This window comes from Homo sapiens, chromosome 11 (genome assembly GCF_000001405.40).
Source record: "Homo sapiens chromosome 11, GRCh38.p14 Primary Assembly".
Classification (NCBI taxonomy): domain Eukaryota; kingdom Metazoa; phylum Chordata; class Mammalia; order Primates; family Hominidae; genus Homo; species Homo sapiens.
This window is the reverse complement of record NC_000011.10, coordinates 128773064-128799861: the sequence shown is the minus strand read 5'-3', so window position 1 is coordinate 128799861 and position 26798 is coordinate 128773064. Positions and strand designations below refer to the sequence as shown.

At 45.7% G+C, this 26798-nt stretch overlaps 1 protein-coding gene across 9 annotated transcripts in view, besides 3 other annotated features; it reads right to left on the bottom strand.

Moving 5' to 3' along the window:
- The window catches only part of FLI1 (Fli-1 proto-oncogene, ETS transcription factor), a 128136-nt gene that overhangs the window by 13406 nt on the left and 87932 nt on the right, over positions 1–26798 (bottom strand). For all 9 annotated transcript variants that reach the window (NM_001440370.1, NM_001271012.2, NM_001440371.1 and 6 more), the window contains one exon: positions 17839–17904. In NM_001440370.1, coding sequence (NP_001427299.1) covers positions 17839–17904 — 66 coding nt within the window. The remainder of the gene's footprint in view (positions 1–17838; positions 17905–26798) is intronic.
- Positions 14660–15206: an enhancer, noted in NCBI's record as "OCT4-NANOG hESC enhancer chr11:128654551-128655097 (GRCh37/hg19 assembly coordinates)". NCBI's record gives its function as "activates a minimal SCP1, AML or CMV promoter by ChIP-STARR-seq in naive and primed H9 embryonic stem cells {active_cell/tissue: H9 hESC(naive and primed)}" and the evidence as "EXISTENCE:reporter gene assay evidence [ECO:0000049][PMID:30033119]".
- Positions 15207–15754: an enhancer, noted in NCBI's record as "OCT4-NANOG hESC enhancer chr11:128654003-128654550 (GRCh37/hg19 assembly coordinates)". NCBI's record gives its function as "activates a minimal SCP1, AML or CMV promoter by ChIP-STARR-seq in naive and primed H9 embryonic stem cells {active_cell/tissue: H9 hESC(naive and primed)}" and the evidence as "EXISTENCE:reporter gene assay evidence [ECO:0000049][PMID:30033119]".
- Positions 22529–23134: an enhancer, noted in NCBI's record as "H3K4me1 hESC enhancer chr11:128646623-128647228 (GRCh37/hg19 assembly coordinates)". NCBI's record gives its function as "activates a minimal SCP1, AML or CMV promoter by ChIP-STARR-seq in naive H9 embryonic stem cells {active_cell/tissue: H9 hESC(naive)}" and the evidence as "EXISTENCE:reporter gene assay evidence [ECO:0000049][PMID:30033119]".

Genomic DNA, 26798 nt, shown 5'->3' with positions numbered 1-26798 from the left:
GAGCAGCCTCTCCCAGCCACCAACCTGCAGAAGCTGCTCTCCTCTAAGCGTTCCTTCATCCTGCTCTCCACCTGTGAGAACTGCTGCACTGCCCGAACCTTCCCAACCCACAGCTCAGGACCAGCTTCTCATCTGCTGCAGTCTTTGCTCGAGTCCGCGCCCTCAGCCCCACCCTGAGGCAAAGTAGATGCAGGGCTTAGGATGTCATCACGAAGGTATCCTTTCTCTCTGGTGGGCCTGGGGATTATTTTGGCAGTTAGGAGATAGGACTTCGAATCAGTTAACCCGGGATTCAAATCCCAGCTCCGCCATTGGCCTTGTGGAGTGACCTTGGTCATGTTGCTCAGCTGCTTTGAACCTCCAGTTCTGCTTCTCTGAAAAGCATTAATAACAGGTGCTTTCTACGGTTGCTATGAGGATTAAATAAGCATGTGATAAATGGTGATTTTAAAAATACACACCATATACATGGAGTCTATTCCATCCTGCTTGCCCCTCTACCATGCTTATCTTGGTGAGATGAGATTACCAAGCCCATTGAGGAAGGCCTTGAAAAGGAAGAGAAGCCTGAGGGCTATAAAGGATGAAGGACAGTTTTATTCCTGTGCTCCTGGAACAGTGATTCCCAAATTTAAATAAAGCTTGGCTCTCAGGCTGGGTGTGGTGGCTCAGGGCTGTAATCCCAGCACTTTGGGAGGCCAAGGTGGGAGGAACACTTGAGGCCAGGAGTTTAAGGCTGCAGTGAGCTATGATTACACTATTGTACTCCAGCCTGGGTGACAAAGTGAGATCCTGTCTCCAAAGCAAAATAATAATAATAATAATAATAATAATAATAATATAATAAAATAAATCGTGGCTTTCTTTTAAAAGAAGAGGTGGATTATTATCCTGGACCCTGGTTTGAGAAACCCCACCCCAGAAGACAGAGAGGGCTGATGGCTACAGGTGGTCTGCCTGGCTGTTAGGCCCAGGCATTACCCAGCATCCTCCTTCCTCCCCCACTGTCAGGTGCCAGAGTCACTGGCCACCTGGCCTTGAAGCTCAGGACCAAGTCCTCACTACATCCCACCATTCTAGAGGGGCTATTAAACCTTCACTTCAGCGGCGTCTTACATCCCAAAGAGCAACAGAGGAGCTTGGCATCCACTGAGACCTTGGAAGGAGGAAAATATCCAGGGAACGCTTTCCCCAAACTTGGAACTCACAGGGAAAAAACATCCTGGATCAGGTTTCCTTTGCTCAAGGATCTTGTCCTGGAATCCAACAGCCCCTCTGCCTCGGAGCTGACCCTGCTGTGTGGAGCATAATGGAGGTACTGTTGAAGATATTAGATGGGCAAAGGGAAAAAAAGACCTACGAGGAAAAGGCTTGGAAGAAATAGCTGACTTTTAAATATGAAAAGCGTGGAGAGTGAAGTGGCACATTCTCTGGGCACAGCCTTGCCATGGCCACGTGAGGCTCCCTGCTGAACCTGGGACCTTCTTCTATTTCATTTCTCCCACAGGCTCTGTGTCTAAGTGACACAGATGTCTAAATGACCTATTTATTTTGATAAGGCCTCAAAGTGGGATTTTTGAGCCAGCCTCATGTGGAATAGCAATTCATACTGACTAGATTAACTGGGTGTTTGCCAAAACTTCCTTCCATATTGGGTCATGTAGACGCAACTAAATTGCATACTTCTTAGGTCAAATCTGCCTCTGGTTTAAGAGGATTCCAGGTAGAAAGAAGAAAACATAACAGTTCACTTAGGTAATCAGGCTTGAGGATAAATGAGAGGCAGTTTATACGCAACGCCCTCTGCCCTGCTCCGACCCTCATAGGTTGCAATGTTCACAGCGAGGTTGCCCTTCTTCTCCTTGGCCATAGGGGATACACTCTTGGGTCTGCGTAACATTCAGCTTCTGTGTCCTTTGCTTTCAAAGTTCTGCAGGTCAAGGCTCACTGGTGAGTTGTCTTGTGTCTACTGCCCGTGTCCTGCTTAGCCTTTGAGTGTAATTCTTTGTACGCTTGTGTCCCTCGCTAGGTGATCATCTTTAGGAAGAGGGGTTGTATCTTAAGCACCTTTGTTTCTCTCAAAAATTCATTCTTGCCCCTCGCCATCACCAACTTATTGGATTTAATTGATGCCTTATGTCCCACCACACATTTATTCATTCAACAATGTTTTACTGAATGTCTACTACCTTGCCAGACACTTTACATGCTGAGAACACAACAATCGCTAGACAAACGTCCTTCCTCTGTGGAGCTGACATTCAAGACAAGTAGTAAATTACATTGTATATTAGAAGGCGATGAATGCTATGAAGAAGAGAAAACCAGAGGAGGGAAGTAGGCAGTGCAGGGATGGGAGGTCTTCTCTGAAAATATAGAATTTGAGCAAAGACTTGATCTAACATTATGAAAATAGAGCTCTACATAGTTCCATAATTTTATTTTGAAAAGTGACAGATTGGCTGACATTGGTCTCAAAGTCCCTCTGGAAAGCCAATTCCTTTTAATTAGTTTTTTATGCATGAGAGTTGCTTTATGTTGTAGGATAGCAAAGTTAGCTAAGAAACTTGACAGCATCTCTTTGATGTTTGGGAGAGGAATAGTAAAAGGTGAGATGAACCCCATATTTTAAAGACTCAAGTACTTTTCACATATTTTGAATCAGGTGATTGTCAAGTCTGTGGTCTTGGATTCACGTTGAATTAGAACGGCCATTCAAATCAAGAAACGTAAAATCCCAACAATTCCCATGATTTGCCTTTTGACCTATGTCTGAAATGCTTTGCAGGAAAGGACAAGTCTCTGGGTTCAGTGTAGCAGAAGTGGACAGGTGAGTTCATGCTGAAGGAGCACTACTTCTTTTTGTTTGTTTGTTTGTTTTGTTTTGAGACGAAGTCTTGCTCTTGTCCCCCAGGCTGGAGTGCAATGGCGCAATCTCGGCTCACTGCAACTTCCGTCTCCCGGATTCAAGCAATTCTTCTGCCTCAGCCTCCTGAGTAGCTGGTATTATAGGCGCCTGCCACCATGCCTGGCTGATTTTTATATTTTTAGTAGAGACGGGGTTTCACCATGTTGGCCAGGCTTGTCTTGAACTCCTGACCTCAGGTGATCCACTCACCTCAGCCTCCCAAAGTGCTGGGATTACAGGCGTGAGCCACCACGCCCGGCCAAGAGCACTCCTTCTTTTGTGGCCTGGCAGGTGAGCAGGAAACACTTCCGTCCCTGAGCTGTGCATCCACACATCAGACAGAGCACAGTAGTTAAAAGAAAAAGAACCATCAAGTCTTGGTAGGTGGAATGTGATCTCACTTATTATATCACAGCATCAGAGGCTCCTTTTTAGACTGGAAGGACCTCAGACATTATCTAAACCAGACATGCAAATTAGCACAGGCCCAGAGGCCCAAAGCCTGAGAGGTAGCATATGTGGCCATGTAAGAATTTTAATAGAAATTGAAATTATGACTCATAGCAAAAAACTGCCTCTCTCTAACCTCCTCTAGTGTATTGGGCAGGGCTGATAATTATTTTGCAGACAGGCCCAAAAGGCCGAAGACTTCTTAAGCTCAAAGATTTTTCAAAATGATACCAAGAATGATTTTCATCTCTTTGGAAGAGTGATACCTAAAATTTATCAAGCATAGGACTGTTGGTGGTGTTACTAAGGGCTCTTAAAGATCTTCATGGGAAGAAATTCCATAATTTCTCGTGAATCCATTCCAAACAGGGAAATGGCTCATTGCAAAGGAAAGAACTCTGGGCTGGGGGGTCAGAACTCCTTGCTTTGCCTCTCATCTCTGTCAGTTATGAGCTGTGTGGTCTGAGGCAAATGACTTAACCTCTCTGAACCTCTTATTGAACCTCTCTGTAAAAGGTAGATACTTGGCAGGGGCGGGAGAGAGTGGTGTGATTATTCCTAAATTTAAGAGTTTGGAAAAGCAAATAGCACACTGGATCCTCACAGGGATCTTTTGAGAATAAATGACACCATGCATATGAAAATGCTTTCTAGGGCTGGGCGCAGTGGCTCACGCCTGTAATCCCAGCACTTTGGGAGGCAGAGGCAGGCAGATCACGAGGTGAGGAGATCAAGACCATCCTGACTAACATGGTGAAACCATGTCTCTACTAAAAATACAAAAAATTAGTTGGGCGTGGTGGTGGGTGCCTGTAGTCCCAGCTACTCGGGAGGCTGAGGCAGGAGAATGGTGTGAACCCGGGAGGCGGAGCTTGCAGTGAGCGTCACTGAACTCCAGCCTGGGCGAGAGGGCAAGACTCTGTCTCAAAAAAAAAAAAAAAAAATTGCTTTCTATATTCTAACGCATCCTACAGAACTCTAGCTGATACTCTTTTTCAGAGTTTAGTTCATGGGACATAAGAAGTTAATTTTTCTTGTGTCAACCAAAGCTAATTTCTTCTGGTTCTTCCTTTATTGGAGCAGGATTGAGTAAATATTCAATGGTATTTACTGAATATATACAGGGCTGGAAGAAAAGAGCCAGGAGAAAACTCACAATTAAAGACCACAAGGTAATCTGTAATTAGGTCCATAAATAGCCTGTGAATGAGGTGAGGCTCCGAGAGGAGACTATAGTCTTAAGGAGGAAGAAAAACATATCTTGAGGCAGATAGGACTTGAATCGGGTTTTGAAGAGTGTGTTGGATTTTGACAGATAAAGTAATTGTCCCACTTAATTTTACCATCTTTTCTTTAGAATATGCCAAATACAAGAATTTAAACTTTATCAAAGAGGCATGTTAAGCCTCTGTTTAATATTTTTATTTTGAAACAGGGCCTCACTCTGTCGCTCAGGCTGGAGTGAAGTGGCGCAATGTTGGCTCACTGCAGCTTTGACCTCCCAGGCTCAAGCAATTCTTGTGCCTAAGCCTCCCAAATAGTTGGGACCACAGGCCCGTGCCACCATGCCTGGCTAATTTTTTTATTTGATGTAGAGATTGACTCTCCCCATGTTGCCTAGGCTGATCTTGAACTCCTGAGTTTAAGTGATCTTTCCACCTCGACCTCCCAAAATGTTGAGATTACAGGCGTGAGCCACCACACCTGACCCATGTTAAACTTCTCGATCTTACAGATCCCTGAGACAAGAAAGAAAAAGCCCACTCACAACCTGGGTAGTGTTTCTAGCCTCCATATTTCCTCCTCAAGGACTTTCTTTTCTCCAACAAGGATATTTCATGAGAAATATGCTCTTTATTATCTTAGATAAGGGCTTCTGAAGAGAGAGAGTTATTCAATCTATAAAAAGGGATTAGAAAGGTTTTTATATTAAAATAACAAATGATGTTTCCTATACATTGGCCTTTCACTAGAAGATGCCCTAAGCTCATAGATCTCTGTCTGGCACAAAAGAAGCTTCTCCGTCTCTCTCTCTCTCCAGATAGATGAAAGAAAGAATTTGGTTGATGAGAATTTGGTGAAACAAGTTTCTTTTAAATACCTTCCAGCTACCAATCGCCTCAAATAACCTCCATGTGGTGGAATTTCTAAATCAGTATACTAGGCAGAACCAACACATTTGGAACACTCTGTGCTGAGGTGGCCCCTGGCAGAGCATTATAGGCCTGTCCTTTTTTTTCCCAAAGTATTTTGGGACCCTTCTCCTCTAAATGGCCAACGGGGATCACTTTTAACTTCTATTGTGAACCAAGCAATAGCAATGAAGCTGCATCAAGCAAGGCCAACTGCATCTGCAGTCCTCGCTCTGTCGTCTGGAGTGGGATGAGCGTGTAGTGTCAAGGGGAAACTTGGTAGAGATGGCAGGCCTAAAATAGTAACATCCCAGAGTCTGCAGATAAATTAGAAGACATGCAAAACCCAAACGGCCCACCCAGTGGATGTGAACTGCCACTGAGAACTGTAGTGGAGCTCTACCCTGCCAAGCACTCAGGGTCATGAAAGCCCCTCCTTGGCAGTGCGGGAGGAGTCATTGTTGGGCTGAGTCCAATGGGAACGAATGGGGAGGGTGCTCTGGAGACCCCCAGCAACAGTCCCACAGCCTGGCACCAGTTCCCTGCCCCACTTGGAGGTTTACCTAATGTCACCGTCCTTTACTAAAATGTAGCAGGGCTCATGCATTCATTGTCACCATCATTAATGTAGCAGAGCACATGGGCACCTATGAGGGTCTTGATTTATTCAGGGTGCATTTAAGGGCAGCTCTGATAAGCAGAAAGACCAAAGACAGCCCAGGGAAGGCAGAAAGGGCAAAGTGGGAACTTCTGAGTGGTCAGGAGCAGTGCCTGGCCTGGAGCCTTCTGGCACAGGGGTGAGAAGAGGCGAACTCTGTAGTGGCAGGAAGGTGCCTTTCTTCTCCAGTTAAGCATTGGGATGAAGCCCTGGCTCTCAATACTGGGGCAGGGCAGGGGTGGGGCATTCCAGAGCAATGGAAGGAGATTATTCTAAGAACACAAGTGTTCATCTCCAACCTTCTCCTCATTCCTTCATCTACCAAGGGCACAGGTGAATTTATGGAGGGACACGGGGCAGGGTGGGGCAGCTGGAGCATCCTGGACGTGTCTTTAAGATGCTTTAAGTTGATTTTGACATCTCTTCCTTCTTCTCCTTGGGAACCATGGGTTTATGAAGCTTACAGAGGCAGAGGATTACCCATGAAACTGATAGACCCATGAAATTATTTGAGGGAAACTTTATTTCCCTCAAATAATAAATTTATTAAATTTATTGAATTTATCCACCCCCACTCTTATTTTGCTTTGTTTTTGAGAACAAGGTCTTGTTCTGTTGCCCAGGCTGGAGTGCAGTGGTGCAATCCCGGCTCATGGCAGCCTCGATCTCCCGGGCTCGAGCAATACTCCCACCTGAGCCTCTGGAGTAGCTGGGACTATAGGAACACACCACTACACCTGGCTACTTTTGTTTATTTTTTGTACATATGGGGTCTAGTTGTGTTGCCAGGGCTGATCTTGAACTCCTGGGCTCAAGTGATCCTCTCACCTTGGGTTTCCAAAGTGCTGGGATTACAGGTGTGAGCCACTGTGCCTGGATGGTTTCTTAAATTCAGTTTATTGAAATTCTCATCAATAGAGTGTTACTCAATATAATACTTTGTTTTCTAAATCTCTTGTTTTCCTTTATCCTCTTAAATGTAGTATTAAACACAAAAGGATATGTGTATAATTATATAAATTATAAAGCATAACAATGAAAAAAAATCTGTGAAACCACCACAAATGATGCTTCCTATACGTTGGTCTTTCACTAGAAGATGTCTGAAGCCCGTTTGTCTCCATGTGGCATGGAAGAAGCTTCCTCTCCCTCTCTCTCTCCAGGGATGGATAGAAAGAAAGAATTTGACTGATAAGCGTGGACAAAGCATGTTTCTTTTATATACTTTGCAGCTCCATTACCACCGCCCCATCCCACCCGGCAAACAACCTCTTTATAGTGGAATTTCTAAAATTCTAAATTGCTAGATTGCTTCTTGAAATGCAAATAAGATTGATTGCACTGGGTCAGGCTCCTGATTTTTTAGATGGTAGCAGGAGTCAATAGATGAATATATCTTAGCAACTAGACAACATCAGCTACTTGGGGGAAATGCATGATGGGGGTGGTAGATGAAGTAGGAAAGGGTCATTTTGGAGCCCTTGCCATTGCCTAGGTGGGGAGGGGACTACAGGAACAGGCTCTCTTCTGTTTCTGTTTCATACTAGCTTTGTGATTCAGGCTTAACATCATACCTGTGATTCAGGTAAAATGGGAATAATCATAGTGCCAACTTAACAAGGTTTTATGAAGGATAAATGTGAAATGAATAGGAAATTTCTTGGCACATAGTAGGTGCTTAACAAATGTTAGCTCTTATTGTGGCTGTCTGGGGCATAAGTGAAGAAAGGAAGGTGGAATTGAGCAGAAGGTACACTCTCCCTGCAGCGTCACCTTTCCTCGGCTTGGCGTGTCCTCAGCCTCCTCCTGATGGGCAGAGACCTGAAGGGCCTGTGGAGTCCAGTTGGCAGCAGGATCCTGCGGTGGTTGGGCCAAGAAGGGGCTCTGGTGCCATCATCTTGTGATTGAAATCTGCTCTTTATCAGTTTTGCTTCCTTGTTCAGGGATGGGACTGATCACAGCTTCCAAGGAACCACCCTGGGGTCCCATGCAATGGAAATTTAGGGCAGGGTAGGGAGGAAAGGCAATGCCACACCAGCAGCTGCAGTGGATAGAGCCAAAACATCCACCTTGTAGAAACATCTCAAAGGGTTAGTTCTACACCAGACTGCTGGGGAACAGTTTAAGGTACTTTGCCTATTATTTTCATCCATCCATCCAATAGTCCCTACCTTCAAGACGCTTCCCGTCTCACAAGACAGAAGACTGCTGGGCTAGAATCTATTGAATGCTGTATTGGTAAAACAGTGGGTATAAGCAAAGCATCCTGGGGAAGGGTGCACAAGACCGTAATGAGGTGATGCTGTCTGATCTGACCACGGCCCTAAAGGGTGAGTGTGGTTTCCTAGAATATGGACTGGGGGTGGGGACTGAGACGGATGAAAGGTATACCCGGCAAAGGAAGAATGGGGAAACATTATTCCAAAGTGTGGTTGAAGATAGAGTAGACAGGAACCAAGTCATGTTTGAAGGACAGGTCTTTGGGTCAGAACCTAAATGGGCAAAGCTGTATTACTGAGCAAAACTATCACACCTCTACGCTCCAGGGGGATCCAGACAGTTCTGGAACTTGTCTCTAGCGGTCCCACAGAGCTGAATCGGGATGGTCTTCCAATAGGAACACATTGAAGGGCAGGTGATCACCTCACAGTCCCTCAGGTTATGGTGGTGACTCAACTGGGTCTGAGTAATTAAAAGAAACCCCAGGATGGCCCTGTTCCCAGGCAGAAGACAGGCTCCTTTGAACTCTAGGTGGTCACCCCTAGTTGTGCCCGTGGCCTGCACAACCTCTGGTAGCTTTGAGGACATCTGAGTTCCCTCCACAGTGGGATGTATGGTGATGCGTTTCATTAAATTAATCCATCAATTAACACAGAAACTGGGGAGAATGATCATTGGGAGATATTGTTGTTTGTGTCTATTTCAAAAGAATCCTCAAAGAAGTAAAACCTACATACACAAAATTCCTCCTCTAATGGAATAGGCCCACCTCTAATAAGGCAGTGGACTGATACTCAGTCTTTTGCCTTATTATCCTGGAACAAATTTACACTTGTCTTAGGAAACGGGCTGTTTCCAATAATTTGAGGAAAGTGTGTCCTAGTCACTGTGTGAGCCACACGTGTGCAATAGCAGTTCGCACAGCACACCCACGAAAAGAAATAACAGTCCTTTTACTTAGAGAAAGGAAGGATAATGGTTACTTAGAAAGTGTCCCAGACAAGCTGTCAAATTGAATTCAGAGAGCTGGAGTCTGACTCCAGGACAGGGCGGGCTGGCTAAGTTCCCGAGGGATTGGGGTTTCCTGCCTGCTCCAGCTTAGAGACAACGAGTCTTTGTTTCCAGTTCTCTCGCTCTCCCTCCTCCCCCGATCTCTGTTTCTCTCTGTCACCCTCGTTCTTTCTCTCTCTCTCTCTGTCTCTCTCTCTCTTAATCTCTCTCTCGTGGAAAAAAAAAAAAATGCAACTCTCCGAAGAGGGTCAGATAGAAAGCAGACAGAACATTAACTCAGGAATTTCAAAGGAAAACAGTTTTTAAAAAATAAAATAGAGAGAGCAAGCTACTGTCTATCCCATAATCATAAATCTTGCCTTTGGACCACAGAAACAGCACGCGTGCACACACACACACACACACACACACACGCATGCATGCACACACACACACACATCCAGCAATCATCCCTGCTTTTGCTAAGAATGGCTTAGGCACATTTCATCATAAAGGAAGAACATATAATGACAATGTTCTTCACAGGCTCTCCTGTGAGGCCGCGATACCCTCCAATTTGAAGTGTGTGTGAGCTGACGTAGATGGGGCCTGTGGGGCCACACAACCTGCTGCATGAGAGATGTTATTTACTCCCTAAAAATAACAGGAGATTACCTCACAGTATTACAGGCCTTTTCCTTTGGGTACACATGTTCCAGACCTAGCCCCCATACGCTGCACTCTACAAGGCAACACACACAGCCCACCTCCACACTGAGCACCAGCTCACGCCCTCCTGCACAGACACACACACAAGGCTGCCAAATGCCCGCCTTCCCAAGTACTGCACCCGGGAGCGCATCAGCCTGACACAGGCAGTGCATATCGCGAGGGACAAAGATGCCCTCCTCGGGAAACTCTTCGCCCGGAGAAATAAGGCAAAGATATCTTGAGGCATTTTTTGAGTTACGGAGAATTTCTAAGATATATACAAGTAGAGAGGAAAGTCTAATGAACCCTGAGGCCCCATCACCCTGCTTTAACAATCATGAATTCATGGTCAGTCTTATTTCAGCTCCATGCCCACCTACTCCGCCCTCCCCGGCCAAATGATTTTGACACAAGTCCCTGGCTCTCCGCTCCTTCGCTGAGCTTCCTGTCTCACAATGAAACATCCAACTGCACCCGGTTTTCCAGGTACCAGGAAGCCATGGTGCACAGGTTCTACCCCAGGGTGTCTTCCTGAAACCCACATCAAACACCCAGGCCTCAGTTATTCCTGCAAGGGCTCACCTGGGCTCCTGTCTCCAAAACCCAACTTGAAAACTCACACACCCACCCCAACAAACACGCTGGTTTCCTTGGTGCCTTCCTCCTTCCCTTTGCTTCAACATCTATTTCCAGCCCTGCCATGCTGCAGCTTGCTAGAGGCCTCCATCTTTTACTATGACCTCTAAAATCATAAAGGACATCCACACAGGAGCTAAATGCAGGGGAAAATTGAAAGACGTGGTAATATACGTGCATTGCCCTCACTCTAAAGCACAGTAGTTCCTTACTTACTTAGCTGTCTGTCTCTCTGTTTGACTAGAACCTGCTTGAGGGTAGGTAGTGTGCTGTGTTCACCATGGTTTTAGGGCTCAGCCTGGTATTCTATGCAGAGAAGATTCTCCATAAGAAAGAAATGAATGAATGGAGGAGAGCATGAATCACAGAATTTAGGTCAATTCCTGACTAAGGTATCATGTATCTATAATATCTGCCTACATAGGAATAATTGTATATATTTGTCTTCACTCCCTGTGTGACCATGGCTGGGTCCACACCTTCTCTGGCCTCAGATCTCTCCTGTTCTATAAGGGATTTGGAGGAGATGTTCAGCTTGAGCATTAATGATTTTCCATCTCTTCATTACACTCAGAAAATATCTTGTGTGTAGCATGCATTGTTGTTTTTCGATTACATGCAGTTTTATATTTCCTTCATATTTCCTAGGTGTGTCTCCCTAAATAGTTGTTTTTTTGCTTTGTTTTTTGAGACAGAGTCTCACTCTGTCACCCAGGCTGGAGTGCAGTGGTGTGATCTTCGCTCACTGCAACCTCCGCCTCCCGGGTTCAAGCAATTCTCCTGCTTCAGCCTCCCGGGTAGCTGGGACTACAGGCACATGCCACCACACCTGACTAATTTTTTATTTTTAGTAGAGACGGGGTTTCACCATGTTGGCCAAGCTGGTCTTGAACTTCTGACCTCAGGTGGTCTGCCCACCTTGGCCTCCCAAAGTGCAGGGATTACAGGCATGAACCACCATGCCCGGCCCCCGAATAAGTTTTAAAGCAGCTTGGCTATCTATGTATAGTATCCTTCACGACCCTTGGTACGGTGTTAACATCTGGTAAACCCTCAAAAATACTGTAATTAGCGGGATACTGTAATTAGGAGGCCGAGGCGGGCAGATCATGAGGTCAGGAGGTCGAGACCATCCTGGCTAACGTGGTGAAACCCCGTCTCTACTAAAAAATACAAAAAAAAATTAGCTGGGCGTGGTGGCGGGCACCTGTAGTCCCAGCTACTCAGGAGGCTGAGGCAGGAGAATGGCGTGAACCCGGGAGGTGGAGCTTGCAGTGAGCCGAGATCACGCCACCGCACTCCAGCCTGAGCGACAGAGCGAGACTCCATCTCAAAAAAAAAAAAAAAAATTGTAATTAGCTTTCAATAATAATGTTAATTACTATTAGAATTTGTACTATAATAAATTAGAATAACAATTTACTATCCTTATTATAACTTTTATTGAGCACTTATTGGTGTGTCAGAAACTGTGCTGATTTATGAGTTTTACATTATCCCTGAAGGGGCACTACAATTATCCTCATTTATACATGAGAAAACTGAGGCAGAAAAATGTAAGCACCTTGTCCAGGTCACAGTCTGAGTCCAGAGCCCAAGTTTTTAATCAGTATGCTATAATGCTGAAATAGGAGACCAGTGCCCACCTTCGGTAAATTGAGAGTATTAAAGAATCCTTAAGATGTTGTCAGATGCTTGAATCAAGTATGCTGAGATAATGATTCCAGAAGCAGCCTAGAGGAAGGACAGAACACACCAAAGGCCCGGACTTGAGTCTTGTTCTGCTTCATGACCTGGGTGCCTTCTAAGGAACCCTGAAATCTCTCTGTGCCTTGTTTTCATTATCTATAGAAGGGGGATAATAATACTACCAGCCTTCTCATCTCATGGTGATGGCACCAGAGGGCACAAACGGGATAATGGATAGGAACGTGCTTGGCAAACCCTACCAGGCTGCCAAAATGCTGTTGTTACCATGTGCATGGCTCCTGCCACCTAGGACTCTCCTGGAGAGAAGCCAGCCTCTCGTTAACATGGGCTTCAGCACCAGCCAGGCATTTCACTCTAAGGGACACAGAAAGGTAGTTTCTCCCCTCTCTTTTCCATACTTAGCATGCAAGCCGACAGACTTTTTATCCATCAGCCAAGGCAATGGCTGGAGATGGCCATTCCGCTTGCAGTGGGGCTGTGGTTTTCAGTTTCCGTGTTCAATGGCAGTCCTGAAAGGCTCCAGGCTGGGGCTAGAAGCTCAGTGCTCCACAGGCCCTTGGCCGGTTGATGAGTTCCAGGAGTTAATAAACAAGGAACTCAATATCCTCTGTCTTTTGGAAAGTCAGAGGTATTTAAACAGATTCAGCATGAGGAACTAAGGAAATGAGGGCTTAGGCATGCAAAGAAGCTCTGAGGAAGAGATGTGCTGATTGTTGCACACTGCTGGGCCAGCTGAGTGTGCTGGGAAGGCCTCCGGCAGGGTTTGCCCAGAAAAACAAAGGGAAGCTCTGACCTGGGACCAGGGCAGACACACGCACATCTGCAGCCTGGAGGACGGGAGAGAACAAGGTGTGGAAAGTCAGTAGCCCTGGCTCCAGGACTCTTACACACTTGAAAAGGCCACTTAACTTCTGCAACCCCAGTATCCTTCCTATAAAATCACGTTACCAACACCATATCTACTTTTTAGAGGACTGAATGAGGACACGTCAGAAAGAAATTTCTGAGATGTACGAACGTACAGTTGTCTAAATCAGTAACATCATGCATCAATAAAATCAGTCATCAATGACAATGACAAAAAACTAATCAAGATCGTACAGTCTCTTCACTTACCTATACCTTTATCAATATACCAGTAGGGCCTGCTATTCCTTTTCTAGGACAATCTGGGTCCAGACAACCGCCCAGTGTGTCTCCAAGAAAATCTGGAGTAGCTCTAACATGGGCCTCATTTCTCTCTAGTTTGTCTCTGTTCTATAAAGCAGGCTTCTCTAGCTTGGCTGCAGCTTGGCTTATATGAATAACCCGGAGAGCTCTAAAACATTTCCAATGCCCAGGAGTCACCCTTGGAGGTTCTGAATTAATGCATCATTTTTTGGCACTTGGGCATCAGTATTTTTTTATTTTAATTTTTGCATTTACAAAATTTTAGTAAAATATGTAACATAAAACTTACCATTTTAACCATTTTAAGTGTACAATTTAGTGGCATTAAGTACATTCACAATGCTATGCAACGATTACCACCATCCAGCTCCAGAACCTTTTCATCTTCCCAAATTGAAACTCTTACCCATTAAACACTAACACCCTATTTCCACTCCTTGCCGCTCCTGGTAACCACCATGTACCTTCTGGCTCTACAAAGTTGACAGTTACCTCCTATGAGTGCAATCATGCAATGTTTGTCCTAGAGTCAGTATTTTGAAAGATCTCCTGGTGATTCTCTGTGCTGTCAGAACTAAGGGCTGGTGCCAAGCATAAGTTGTTTATTGGTTCATCTTTGGAAAGAGAGAAAAGTTTAGGGATGGAGATGGAGCTGACAGTGGGAAAACTGCATGGACAGAAATCAAGTAATGCAAAACATTCACATCTTTGCCCAAGTTACATTTAGGCTAGGTATTGCTTTTGCAGAATGGCAGCTGGAAGAGAAAGGCTGTATTTGTCAGAAAGTGAGGGGGTTCTAGTCTAATCCTCTAACCTGGTTTGAGTCCTTGCTCTGCCATCTAGTAGCTGTGTACCCTTCAGTGAGTCACTTAATAGTGCTGAACCCCACTTTCTTTGTCTGCAAAATAGAGATAATAATATCTACTTCAAAGACCCAGTGCTAGGCTCCAAAGCAAAGCATGTGGAGGTGTCTGATATATTCCAAAACCCTTTACAGATGACAGTTGTGGCTGCTATTGTAAATGGATAACAATAGCTTTTATCCTAGTTTATTTTTTTAAGTGCCTTAGCCTTGATAAACTAAAGGTAGAGCATAACTGCTCTAGCTGGATCCAATCCATGTCCATAGAATATTTAATTTAAAGGGGCTTAAAGATTGTTCTAAATTAATTTTTAAAATCTACTCTTACTTCCTGGGCACAAATAACCCCTAGAGATTGCAGCCATTTTCAAGAGACAAGCTGGAAGGGTGATTATACAATTTTAAAGCAAAAAGCCATTCTAATTTGATAAGTGCTTTGAAGACATTAATAGACAGCATCTCCTCAACTTCCTTGCTTTGTGCTTGATGCCAGCACCTGCCCTTTGTGGACTGCACCAGTGTGCACTCACACACAGACACACACACACACACACACAGCTCTGGTGCTCTTGATGAACTCTGGGTTTGTTTGGGGCTGTGTGTGTCTTATTCAAAGAAGATGGAGCCAAGGTTGCCTGATGTCTTCTAATAGCTAATAGATAGTGATTAGAGCAGAGCAGGAGAGCCAGTGAGAGGTGGGGAGGAGGCAGGGAGGATAGAGGGAGGGCTTGCTTAGCTTTGTCTTGCTAATGTACTTTGTTTTGTGGCTTGATGGGTCGTTCAGACAGATTCAGACCACCTCACAAGGGGAAGGCATAGAGGAGCAAGACAGCTCAAGTGGAGAGCTTTACTGGGGACAAAAGATGCACCTGCAAAGCACAGGCTTAATCGTCTCTAGAGGCCAGGCCCGATGTTGGGAGATAAATGCCGGCACCACCTGAATGAGGTCCTGGCAGCGTGTGTTTGCCTGGATACTACAGTTAATTCATTTCAGAAGAGGGGTTGCTACCCAGCAAGAGGGAGCTGCTCCTGCAATAAGCCTGAATGAGCCAGCAGTGTTACAAATGTCCTCCCTAAACACAAAAGGGCCAAGGGAAGGAAATGTGTATGGCAGGTAGAGGACACGGCTGAACAATAAGACAGCAGGAGGAGGAGGAGGAGGAGGAGGAGGAGGAGGAGGAGGAGGAGGAGGAGATGGTTAGCAACACATTTCAACTTGGCTAAACCAGTTTCTAAACTAAACCCTATATCTGAAGCCCAATATCAGAAAATATTTCATTAGCTCTGCTTCAGAGCCTCACTGGCTAATTCTGATGTTGGTAGCAGGTTGTAGCCTGAAGTGTTGGAGAAACTTACAAAAATCCGAACTCAGCAGTTCAGAGGTTAGGGTTCCTCCCATCCCTCCCTTCCTCCTTCCCTCCCTTCCTTCCTTATAGCCTTGCTTTTCTCCCTCCCTATCTTCCTTCCCTTCCCTTCCTTCCCTCTCTCTCTCTCCCTCTAGTCATTTTTCCCCTTCTTTTTTCCTTCCTTCCAAAAAGTGGATCCCTATCCACAAATGAAATAAAACTCAGTATGTAGAACATATCAAAGGACAGTGGCTCTTGAGCCCTCGCAATGTGAGTGCTCCTGTCATCTCCTTAGAGGCCAAGATCTCCAGAGTCAGGGCTGGCCTCTTGCTGACAGAGTTCTTCTCTTTCGTTCTGCAGGAAACTGAGGTTCAGGGCCTGAAGTGGTTTTCTCACAGGAAGCCAAAGGTGCCCTGACCTTCAATCTAATGCGTTTGCCACTAAAATGTATTTTCTCTCTTACAGACATTTGCAACAGCATATTAAAATAGGTCAAAAAGTGAAATCTGACTCACAATGTAGAATGAATCCATAGAAATTCAGCGTTCATGACAAAACTCAAGAAATCTGATTTGGAAAGGAAAAACAGTGGCAGAAACAGGACTGGCTCAGGGTGGGATAGGAGAGAAGGAAACAAATGAAAAACACAAATGTTTAAAAGCGGATTCATTATGTTGTATAATTCTTCCACTAAATGTTCTGGTCATTATTAAATTATAAATTGTTAACAGGAAACACAAAGTGCTGTGTGATCAAAGTTGTAACCTTGGGCAAGACAGCCAGCTAGTGCCTTTGGCTCTCTGTTTCCTTCACACCCCATGCGGATTTTAAGCCAAATGGTCCTTCCCTTAGAAGAGCCTTTGTTTCTCTGAAAGGTTTTGCAGTGCTGTGCTATATGTAACTGATCCTGAGAACTTCTGCCTTTCTTATATATTTTGGGGAGGGTGAGTTAAAGAAAAACTGGGGACAGACAGCGAGCCAAGGAGGACAGAGTGCCTGCCACACTCTTATTATTCTTCAAGCTCCTATTCAAAAGTCCCCTCCTCTGTGGAATTTTTGCTATGCCGCGCAAATATTTTTTCCAGTCTCTCTCTGGTTCCTAATAATTATTTGTTCACATCTTTTCCTCCTTTAAACCAGGTACTATGAATTATTCACTTGTTTCAATGCCTGAAATCTAACAGTATCTGAACCACTCCTCACGATGTTTCATAAAGACGCTGAGGAATTCTATTGTGACGTGTACTAAAATCTTCACTGGCAAAAATCATTTGCCGAGGAAGTTTTCTTTCTCAGCAAAACCAAACCAAACCAGACCAAACCCTTAAGCCACCACTTTAAAAATGAATTGACATCGCTAAAATTTTTTTTGAGACAGAGTCTTGCTCTGTCGCCCAGGCTGGAGTGCAGTGGCGCGAACTCGGCTCATTGCAGCCTCTGCCTCCTGGGTCCAAGCGATTCTCATGTCTCAGCCTCCTGAGTAGCTGGAATTACAGGTACCTGCCACCACACCTGGCTAATTTTTGTATTTTTTAGCTGAGATGGTGGTTTTGCCATGCTGGCCAGGCTGGGCTTCGAACTCCTGACCCCAAGTGATCCACCCACTTCGGCCCCCCAAAGCGCTGGGATTACAGGTGTGAGCCAGCATGACCGGCTGCTAAAATTTCTTAGGAAAAAAACCTTTAAAGGTAGACATGCTGGAATCCTTGAACTCTTCATTTCATTATTTTCATCAGAGAAAACTCCCAACTTTCAACTTTGAAAGTAAGCAGCATTCATTTTTTTCTAAAAGTAACATGTTTTCCTGCATGGAGTGACAACTTCAAGTTGTATCTTTGTGATATTATTACAAGATACTGTAAAACTTTCTTTACTGTATTTTTGCAACTGGTAGCACAAGTGGCGAAAATTTTGGCTTGTCTTTGTATGCTAGGAAAAGTTGAGTGGAACACGCAAGCTGGTTTTCTGCAACAACCTTAACAGCATGGGCCTGTGTCATGTCTGGTACAGAAGAAAATTTTAAGTGCACAAAAGAACAAACTTACCTTCTTTGACACTCAATCGTGAGGATTGGTCGGTGTGGGAGGTTGTATTATAGGCCAGCAGTGAACCTGAGAGGCAAAACATAAACAGGTTATAACCAAAATGTTCTTCTGAGATCAAGAGTAGGAGATGACATGAGGAGGGAGTAGAAAGGGAAAGAGATGGGGAGAGGGGAAGAGGGACAGAGGACTCCTAGGAAGAAAGGAAAAGCGAATGGAATCCATTTGGTTGGAGACAATCATACAGGCCTGTAATAGCTTTATGGAGTGAAGAGACAGAATACTTTGGAATGAAATGCTCTCTGGGGAAACAAACACCACGCCCCCTAAGCTGCCATATTCATAGTTCTGAAGCGCTGTGGTCTGTGCCATAATCATGATAGGAACACAGCATTGAGAATCAGTAAACCCGGGTCTATTCCAGTTGTTATTAACTCACCATGTGACAGTTGGTGAGTGACTTGACATGTCTAGATTTTGATTTTTTTTCTTGAACTAGAGCAGAGGTTGGCAGATTTCTTCTATCAAAAGGAGATAGTAAATATTTTGGCTTCATAGGCTAACTACAATCTCTGTTGCACAGTCTTCTTAGTTTTTGTTTTGCTTTGTCCATGGGCCACTTTTGGCCAGATTTGGCCTGCAGCTTGTACTTTGCCATGGCCTGGAGGAGAAGCCAGTATCACTCCTTCCTGCTGTGGTATCTTCTGGGTTTATGTACATATGGGTCCTTTCACAGGTGAGGGTAAGGTACACAGGTATGTTACTGGTGGAGGGGGCAATGGGAGTTGGGAAGGAGGTGAGTGGTAGTATTCCAATAGGAACTTTTGCTTCCCTTCACCTATGTCTAAGAGCACGCACTGAACCTGAGGAGTCACGCGTTGAATTTTCTGTAATCTCAGAATGCTGATATCCAATCTTTTCAAATTAAACTTCAATTCATACCTCTTCTGTACCCAGCACTTTGAAAAAGCAATTTGTTGTTACATGTAAAACACATTCTCCCTTCTTTCCTAAAACTAGACTTTTTCCTTTGTTTAAAGTGAATTCAAGGTTGTATTTTGTGAAACTTAGGCATTTTTGCCATTCTCTTTGAGATTCTCCTAAGGAAATCTTAAAGAGCCCTTGAAACGAGGGCTGGGATCTGCTTTTATAAAACATACCATAAGCTCAACACATGTATTCGAGGCTAAGAAAATTCTTCTAAACAACCCTTTTCCCCGCTCCCTGTGGCCGAGTGGACTGGCTTGGGTGCCAGGGGTGGGAATGGGCTGTCAGACACACCCCTATTTTTAGTCTCCAGTCATGGAAGGGATGCCGAAATGGAGTTGCCGCCTCACCCAGCTGTGGGCGTTTGGTTGTGTGCCTCAGAGAAAATGTGTGCACTATCCAAGCCAGACGATGAGGAAGAGAATTTATTTATTTATTTTTTTTGAAACGGAGTTTCGCTCTTGTTGCCCAGGCTGGAGTGCAATGGCGCGATCTCAGTTCACTGCAACCTCCGCCTCGCAGATTCAAGTGATTCTCCTGCCTCAGCTTCCCCAGTAGCTGGGATTACAGGCATGTGCCACCATGCTCGGCTAATTTTGTATTTTTAGTAGAGACGGGGTTTCTCCATGTTGGTCAGGCTGGTCTCAGGTGATCTGCCTGCCTCGGCCTCCCAAAGTGCTGGGATTACCACCGCACCCGGCAGAGGAAGAGAATTTTATAAGAATTGTCCAATTGCCTAGAATATGACTGTTAGTTCTAGCTCTGCAGCAGCTCCAGATGAAAACAAGGAGGGGGATGACGGGGGTGGTATTGAGCCCGCTGTATGCCAAAGTGTGGCTATGTGGATGCCATTTTAGAAATGAGACAGTCACATGAATATAACATCCAAGAGCCAGCTACATTTGGTTATTCCATGTTCAAGAATACCAATGACAAAGTAAGGCTGGGACAAGTTCCTGTTAATAGTCACACACCAAAAAATGATGTTTTGGGCAAAGATGGACCACATATACGACAACGGTAATAGTGTATTTTTACTGTATCTTTTAAAAGTTAGATGCACAAATACTTGCCATTGTGCTACGGTTGTCTACTATATTCAGTACAATAACATGCTATACAGCTTAGTAAGCTAGGAGCCACAGGCTGTAGCATACAGCCTCAGTGTGTAGTAGGCTATGCTATGTGGGTTTGTGTAAGTACATTTTGTGGTATTCACATGAAGATGAACTATCCCCATCATGAAGCAAAGCACGACTGTATGTTTATTAAGCAAAGGAGACTTTAAAATTAGACCTGCCTCTTATCACTGACTAGCTTTGTGCCCTCCACTGATTTCCCTCATCTCTTTGAGCCAGCAGTTTCTCATCTGTAAAATGGGCTAACACCACTCAATGGCATTATGAAGATTAAATCAAATAATGCATGCAATGTGCTCAGAATGGACCTTGGCTCATAAGTGTTCCATAAATGCTAGCTATGATCGTTACTATTTTTACATCCTTTCTCCCACAGATGTCACAATTACATACAATAGTTCTCTTTATACATGCGTTTACTGAACATTCGTCCTGTCCTCTGATTAAAGTTATGAATGGGTTCTGCTGCAATAAGAAATAATCCGGCACGACTGGAAGGAAGTGAAGAAATGGAACCAAATGTTCGGAGGGAATACAAAAAAATCCCAGAAGTAGGACCAAGAATGCTTGCCTCTCCGTCCCTGACGTTCTCTCCCTCAGGCTGAAACCTCACTGCTGGAGCAAATAAAGAAAAATGATGGTCTCCGAGGAGCAAACTGCCTGAGTCATTAGTGCAGATGTAGCCGAAAGCACGAACCTTAGATAAACCACATTTATTAAATTTCCCCATTGGTGAAAGTTCTTCTTTGGGCACACATGAATTCCACAGGAAACTCCCAGAAAGCTGAGAGAAAGGGTCATTTGACCTCTCCAAAGCTTGCATGAAATGTATATTTCATGGCAACCTAGGAAAAGGATTTTGCCCTAAAGACTGTTCTTGGTTCAAGTTTCACTCCTAGAAGGAGAGGCTGCCTTCCCCAAGGAGGGGCTGGTTGGGGGCATCTGGCCTCTCTCCCAAGGGACCTAGATTCCCTCCTCTTCTCCGATTTCTACTTCATTAGTTCCCCAGGCTCTGTTTTCTTAAGGAACTTGTTCTGATGCAGGCAGGTCCTCCTGGAGTCTGGCCTCCCTCTCTGTGGCTTTGGACTGCTTTCTCCTGCCTTGAGGCTCTTTCTGGCCTGACCCTGCCACAGGCCTGTGCTGCTGAGCTCCCCCACCTTCCCGATGCCAGCACATCAGGGTAAACAGGCCATGATGAAGGTGGTGGTGGGGACGCAGTGCTCCCTGAACATGCACGGTGTGCCAGACGCTTTCCATCTATTTTCTCACTTAATCCTTGCATAAGCCATACAGAGCCAGCATTCCCTTATTCCTTTTTACAGATGAAAGGAGCAACACTCAGCGAAGTCATATCATTTTCCCAGGATCACACAGCCAGAGAGTGCAGAAGGCAGGAGCCCCATCGTGGTCTATTCACAAAACCTGTCCTCAATCTGGCAGATCCCACTGCCTCCAGGCTAAATCGTAGAAATAGGCAAAACTCACCTATGGGGCTGGGAAGCAGGGTGGTGGTTAGTTTTGTGGAGGAAGCGGTTGTGGGGTGGAGAGAGGGTACAGGGGGCTGAAATTCTACTCCTTGGCCCGGGAGGTGCTTATGGGAGTGGGTGGATTCACGTCACGATAATGTCTCACGTAGCGCACTTCATGATTTTTGCACTTCTCTCTGTGTTGTACTTCAGTTCAAACTGAAGTATAAGATTTGCCTACTTGGTTATTTGTAAGTTTCTGTATATGTGTTTGTATGTATATATTTGTATATGGGTGTGTATGCATATACATATATCTATTTATTGAGGGCATTTTTGCTCTAAAAAGCATAAAGTAGCTCCTGCTGAGAATAGAATGGCCTTCCCAAAGTGCAAGCATGGGGAAAAGATCATTTTCCATTCCATGTTTGAATCCATGTGCTGCTAGAGACAGTACCTGGATCTGAAAGGAGAGGGGAGTGAGCAGTGTGAGGCTTTGCAGGTGTGGGGTAGAACCCCAACAATCACGGTTTCTGCTGCTTCACATTCCCTCAACCTAACCTGCTTTTCATCGGGGACACCTGGGCCAGGGGGCGCAAGCGTCCCAGTGCCAAAGCCTTTGTCTCCTGCCTCGCTGTGACCATAGAATTCACCAGTGCCCCCTCACAGCCAGCCTATTGAATCCAGGTCTCTCTTTTCTCTGGGCTGCACTGCTATATCAACAGCTCTGGCTGAGTGTGCAGGAGCGGGAGGGTGCAAGGCTCTGGGATCTTTAAACAACAATCCTGGCTGACTACTGGGTCCAGGGAAACCTGGCCTTTTGTTCAGCTGGCATTCTGTTCTCCTTCACCAGTCAAACCCAGGCCTGGAAGTGATAAGATTGCACCAGCTTAATTGCCCAGACTCAAAACCTCTGCCCGACCATCTGAGGCTGCAGGTGGAAAGACCAGAAAATGCAAAATGTGTTTTCCATTAAAGTTTAAATTAAAAATGGGAATGAAGATAGACACCCTTTCCGTGGTCTCCCGGTCGCGCAGTTTCATTCTTTTGAGCAGCCACTGTTTGAAGACGCAGTTTCTTAGTGTTTTTTTTTCCAGGTCAGACCCAGATTGACATACAAAACGAACTTGTTTGTAAAACTTAAAAAAGGCTCTTTTTCTTTCTGCCTCCCCACCTCCCCCGGGGCCTCGGGGCTCCCAGCCTTGCGCAAACTCCCCCCAGCGGCCCTGAGCCTGAACTGCCAGCCCGGCGCCCTCCGTTTCTTCGAGGTCCTTCCCCGCCTTGGCCTGAGAAGGGACAAATCTCGTTCCCGCAGCAGCTGCTGCGAAGGCTCCTCTGCCACACGGGGTGTGTCCGGGAGAGATACTGGTGGGGCCGACAGTCAGGCCCAGAGAAGGACAAAGTTAGCGTGGTGATAGGTTTGGCTTAATCGGCCTCCTTCCAGGAGGCCACAGGAAAGTTTTTGGAAAGCATTTATCTCTTGGTACAAATGACAACAGAAAATGCTGTGGGGGAAGTGGCCGGGCTGCCCACGTGGAAGGCCGGGAGTGAGGCTGCCTTGCCTGTGTGGCGCAGGCTGGCTTGCTGTCTCCAGGGCCGGGGGAACGTCGGCAACGCGAGGCCAGGGACTGGGACTCCAGAGGCCCTAGTCTGAGATGCCAGGTGCTCTCAATCGGCTGGATGCCTTTGAACCAATTTCTGAAGCTGTCTGGGCCTCAGTGGGTTCAGCTTCAAAATGGGTACTGTAGATAGTTGTCCACAAGGGGGCAACCTTTTTTCCTCTGAAGACAGAGCCTCGGTCTATCGCCCAGGCCAGAGTGCGGTGGTGCGATCTCAGCTCACTGCAGCCTCCCCCTCCCGCATTCAAGCGACTCTCCTGCCTCAGCCTCCCAAGTAGCTAGGATTACAGGCGCCCACCACCACACCTGGCTCATTTTTGTATGTTTAGTAGAGACGGGGTTTCACCACGTTGGCCAGGCTGGTCTCCAACTTCTGGCCTCAGGTGATCCACCCGCCTTGGCCTCCCAAAGTGCTGGGATTGACAGGTGTAAACCCTGGAGTTTCCCAGGACTCATGGGAATTACCCCCAAGAACCGTGGCCACCCCAGCCATCACAGTCCTCCTTGCATTTCCTGTGGTGGTGGGGGGGAGGGGTGGGCGCCTGTGTGGCGTGTGACACAGCTCCTCTGGCACAGCTGACACGCCCAGGTGTGAAGAACAAGCACCTCCCTAGCATGCCTGGCCATCAGACAGGGTCTGTAGGGGCACAGGGAACTGCTATTTCTTCTCTACCCTGGAAAATACATTTGCATTTAAAATGTAAAAGTCTAGCTCCCCTCCCAAACCACCAGAATAAATAGTCAAGCACCTTTTGTGAAATGTAAATTTGATGCCAAAGCTTCTTATCCTATGAAGTTTTCCTTTTTCTAGACTTTCTATAAAGCCCAGAAAGATTAGATCAGAGAAGTGCCACCAACTTGGACTCTACTGACTTCCAACCAGCCACAGTCTCAGGTCCCCGATTCTGCTCTATCAACTTTCCTTCACCCTGCAGTACTTCCTCCACCGGAGTGAAGGATCTCAGCTATTTTCCATCCATCTCTTGCTAAAGTGGAAATATCTGAGCCCCACCTTCCTCTCCAATGAAAGGACAAGATGATAAAGCACAAAGAATCAGCACCCTCTCCCCTTGCCTTGACTCATCGCCTCAAACTCTCCACAAGCACTGGCCTTCCTCCTAAGCACAGAACATCCACTGGAAGTCAGTCTGGAAAAACAATAAAGTGTTTGAAGGCTTTAAAAGCGTTTAAAGTGCTGGTTGTCACGGGGGAGTTCCCAGCAATCCAGAGCAGAAACAGAGCAGACACGATCGCCAGCCCATGGCCTCCTGCAGGCGCTTAGCAGCCAGCCACCACCTCACACTAGAGGGTCCCCAAGGCTGGAACCCCAAGGTAGACACCAATTAAAAAGCAGCATGAATCTAAAAGCCTTTTGCCTGACAGTGGATCATTTTAAGTCTAGGTTCCTCAAAAGGATATTTCAATACCATGTTGGGGCAAGTTTTTTTTTTTTTTAATTTAACACGATTATTTTAATTTTTTGCTTTCGCAGGCAGACATGGTTTTTCTATCAGTGCACAGACCACTTTATAATGAGCTTTTCCACCCAACATTGTATCCTAAGCACTTCTCATGGTGTTTCCCAATAATCATTTCAATGGCAGAACAACTACTTCCCATCTTGTGGATGTACTACTGTTCGCCACCATCCTCCACTCTGGATATCTGCCCTGCATTTTCAAATGTCTTCAGTATACAAGCTGGATTCCACCTCCTCTCCACTCTGGAAATATGCTCCACTAATAAGTCCCTTTTGGGAAACCTAATATTTTTATTGATTTGGGGGCACTTTCTGTCTATAAATATTCTTAAAAAGAAAGAAGCAATTTGCTTTTTCTTGCCATGCTATACCCCCCAAAATGCCATCCTCTGCACCTCCACTTCAACCTTGTTATCTGCTCTTCTCCAATAGAAGGTCTCTCTACTGGCGACCAGTGACCACCTTCTCAGGCATTTGTCTCACTTCAGCATCTGTGTTCCCATTGTTCGGTGGCAGGAAGTACTAGGGGACCTTGGGCTGTTTATGGACTGGTTAGGGCCCCGGGGTCATATGGCATGAATGGGCTTTCCCCACATGGAGAGAATGCCTTGAACATTCTCCCAACAAGGGCATCCGCCGAAGAGTCTCGAAGCACTGGGCCCTTTAACTAACAGTTCAGAGCATGCTGTCTATGCTACTGTTGTCCTCTCTACTCCTGGCAAATGAAGGAAAGGGCTTAGGGTTCCTGCAAACTCCTGCTGGAATCAGGTTGCTTTGCTGGTCTCTCCTTCTCATGCTAACCTCCACACACCCACCCTGGCCTGCCTAGATCACTGCAGGACTCTGTTCAAAGATCCTTATTTTTTAAAATTCCACAAACAGTTAAAAGCTGAAAATATGAATTAGAAAGTGCTAATTATCCAAAGCTCTGAAAAACTGGGTGGAAAATTGTCCCCTTTTTTGAAATTGTTTCTTGGGCTGACCTCATGTTGCAGCAAGACTCAGACATGAGGTAATTGCTCCGGAGCTAACAAATACTGCATCATCTACTTTCTCGCACTAGTTACCAGACGCCTCGGAAAGGTGACCAGAGAGCACAGAGGCACCAGTGGAAACTGCCAAAGCCAGTTTTTTGATTTTTCATTTCTCCAGCCAGCACGTGTTGCCCCTGCCCCATGAGGAACACTGTCGCTGAAGGGACAGTGGATTCCAAAGATGGGGAGTTAAAGGTCCACAGAACGATGGCGAGCAAACAGAGCTCACCAACCCAGAGCCAGCCAGTCCAGGAAAAGCAGGTCCCAGAGTTGCTGTCTAAGGATCTGAACTTGCGAAGGGGGCTTAAAATCATCAAGCCCCTGCCCAAAGCTAAACTCCTGCAAGACTCGCAGCTGCCTTGGCCATTCACAACAAATAGCATCTCAAGGCTGCCCTGTCTTTGCACAGGGCTGCTAGAATGCTCTTACGTAGTGTGAGCCCAAACCTGTGTTCCTGTGATCCTAGCACCATCTTTTCAGGCCCCAGGACAATCCTTCCATACTTAGGGGTAGCACTGATATTGATATACCACCTGGCCTGGATTCCCAGCAGGGCACTCAGGCTGAGGTTACCAGCAGGACTAAAATAATTCCATTCTTCTGCTCTGTGTATATTTCATATCAAATGAAATTCATATCAGACTGATGGGCGCTTGGTGCTAGAGTACCTCATACTAGATAAATCTCTTGGACAACTGCCTGCTTTCTTTCTTAAGCTCGCCCTTTCCAAAGCTCTTTTCCTTTTCTTGGCTGTACCAGAAGAAAGCCTCCAATGGATCCTAACACACCTGCACCTTTGGCTGCTCTTCCTTATCAAGGAAGTGTGCAGATAGCAGCCCTGTCAAATGGGGTTAGGGTGTGCCAGAGTATCCCAAGATTAAGAGGAAGCTAATATGTAAATTATTTTCAACACCTTAAATCCAAAAGCCTTGAATCTAGAGTTTCCTGGAGGAATTTTAAATAATCACTTAGGAAAACACCAGCCAGGGCACCACCCATCTCTATCTATTTTCAAATTGGAATAGTTTCTGGAAAGGCGGTCTCATGGGAAGAGTGTAACCAGCCTCTGCCAGACCCCTCCAGGTCACAGCTCTCTACTTTTCTCCATTTCTCGTCTTACTTCCTTTGACACTTCAGGATTGGGTCTGCCCCTCACAGGGTCTGTAGGAGCCCACGTGACCTTGGCAACACTACAGGCCCCACGATGCTGCTCCGGCGGCATCTGCCCAACACGAACG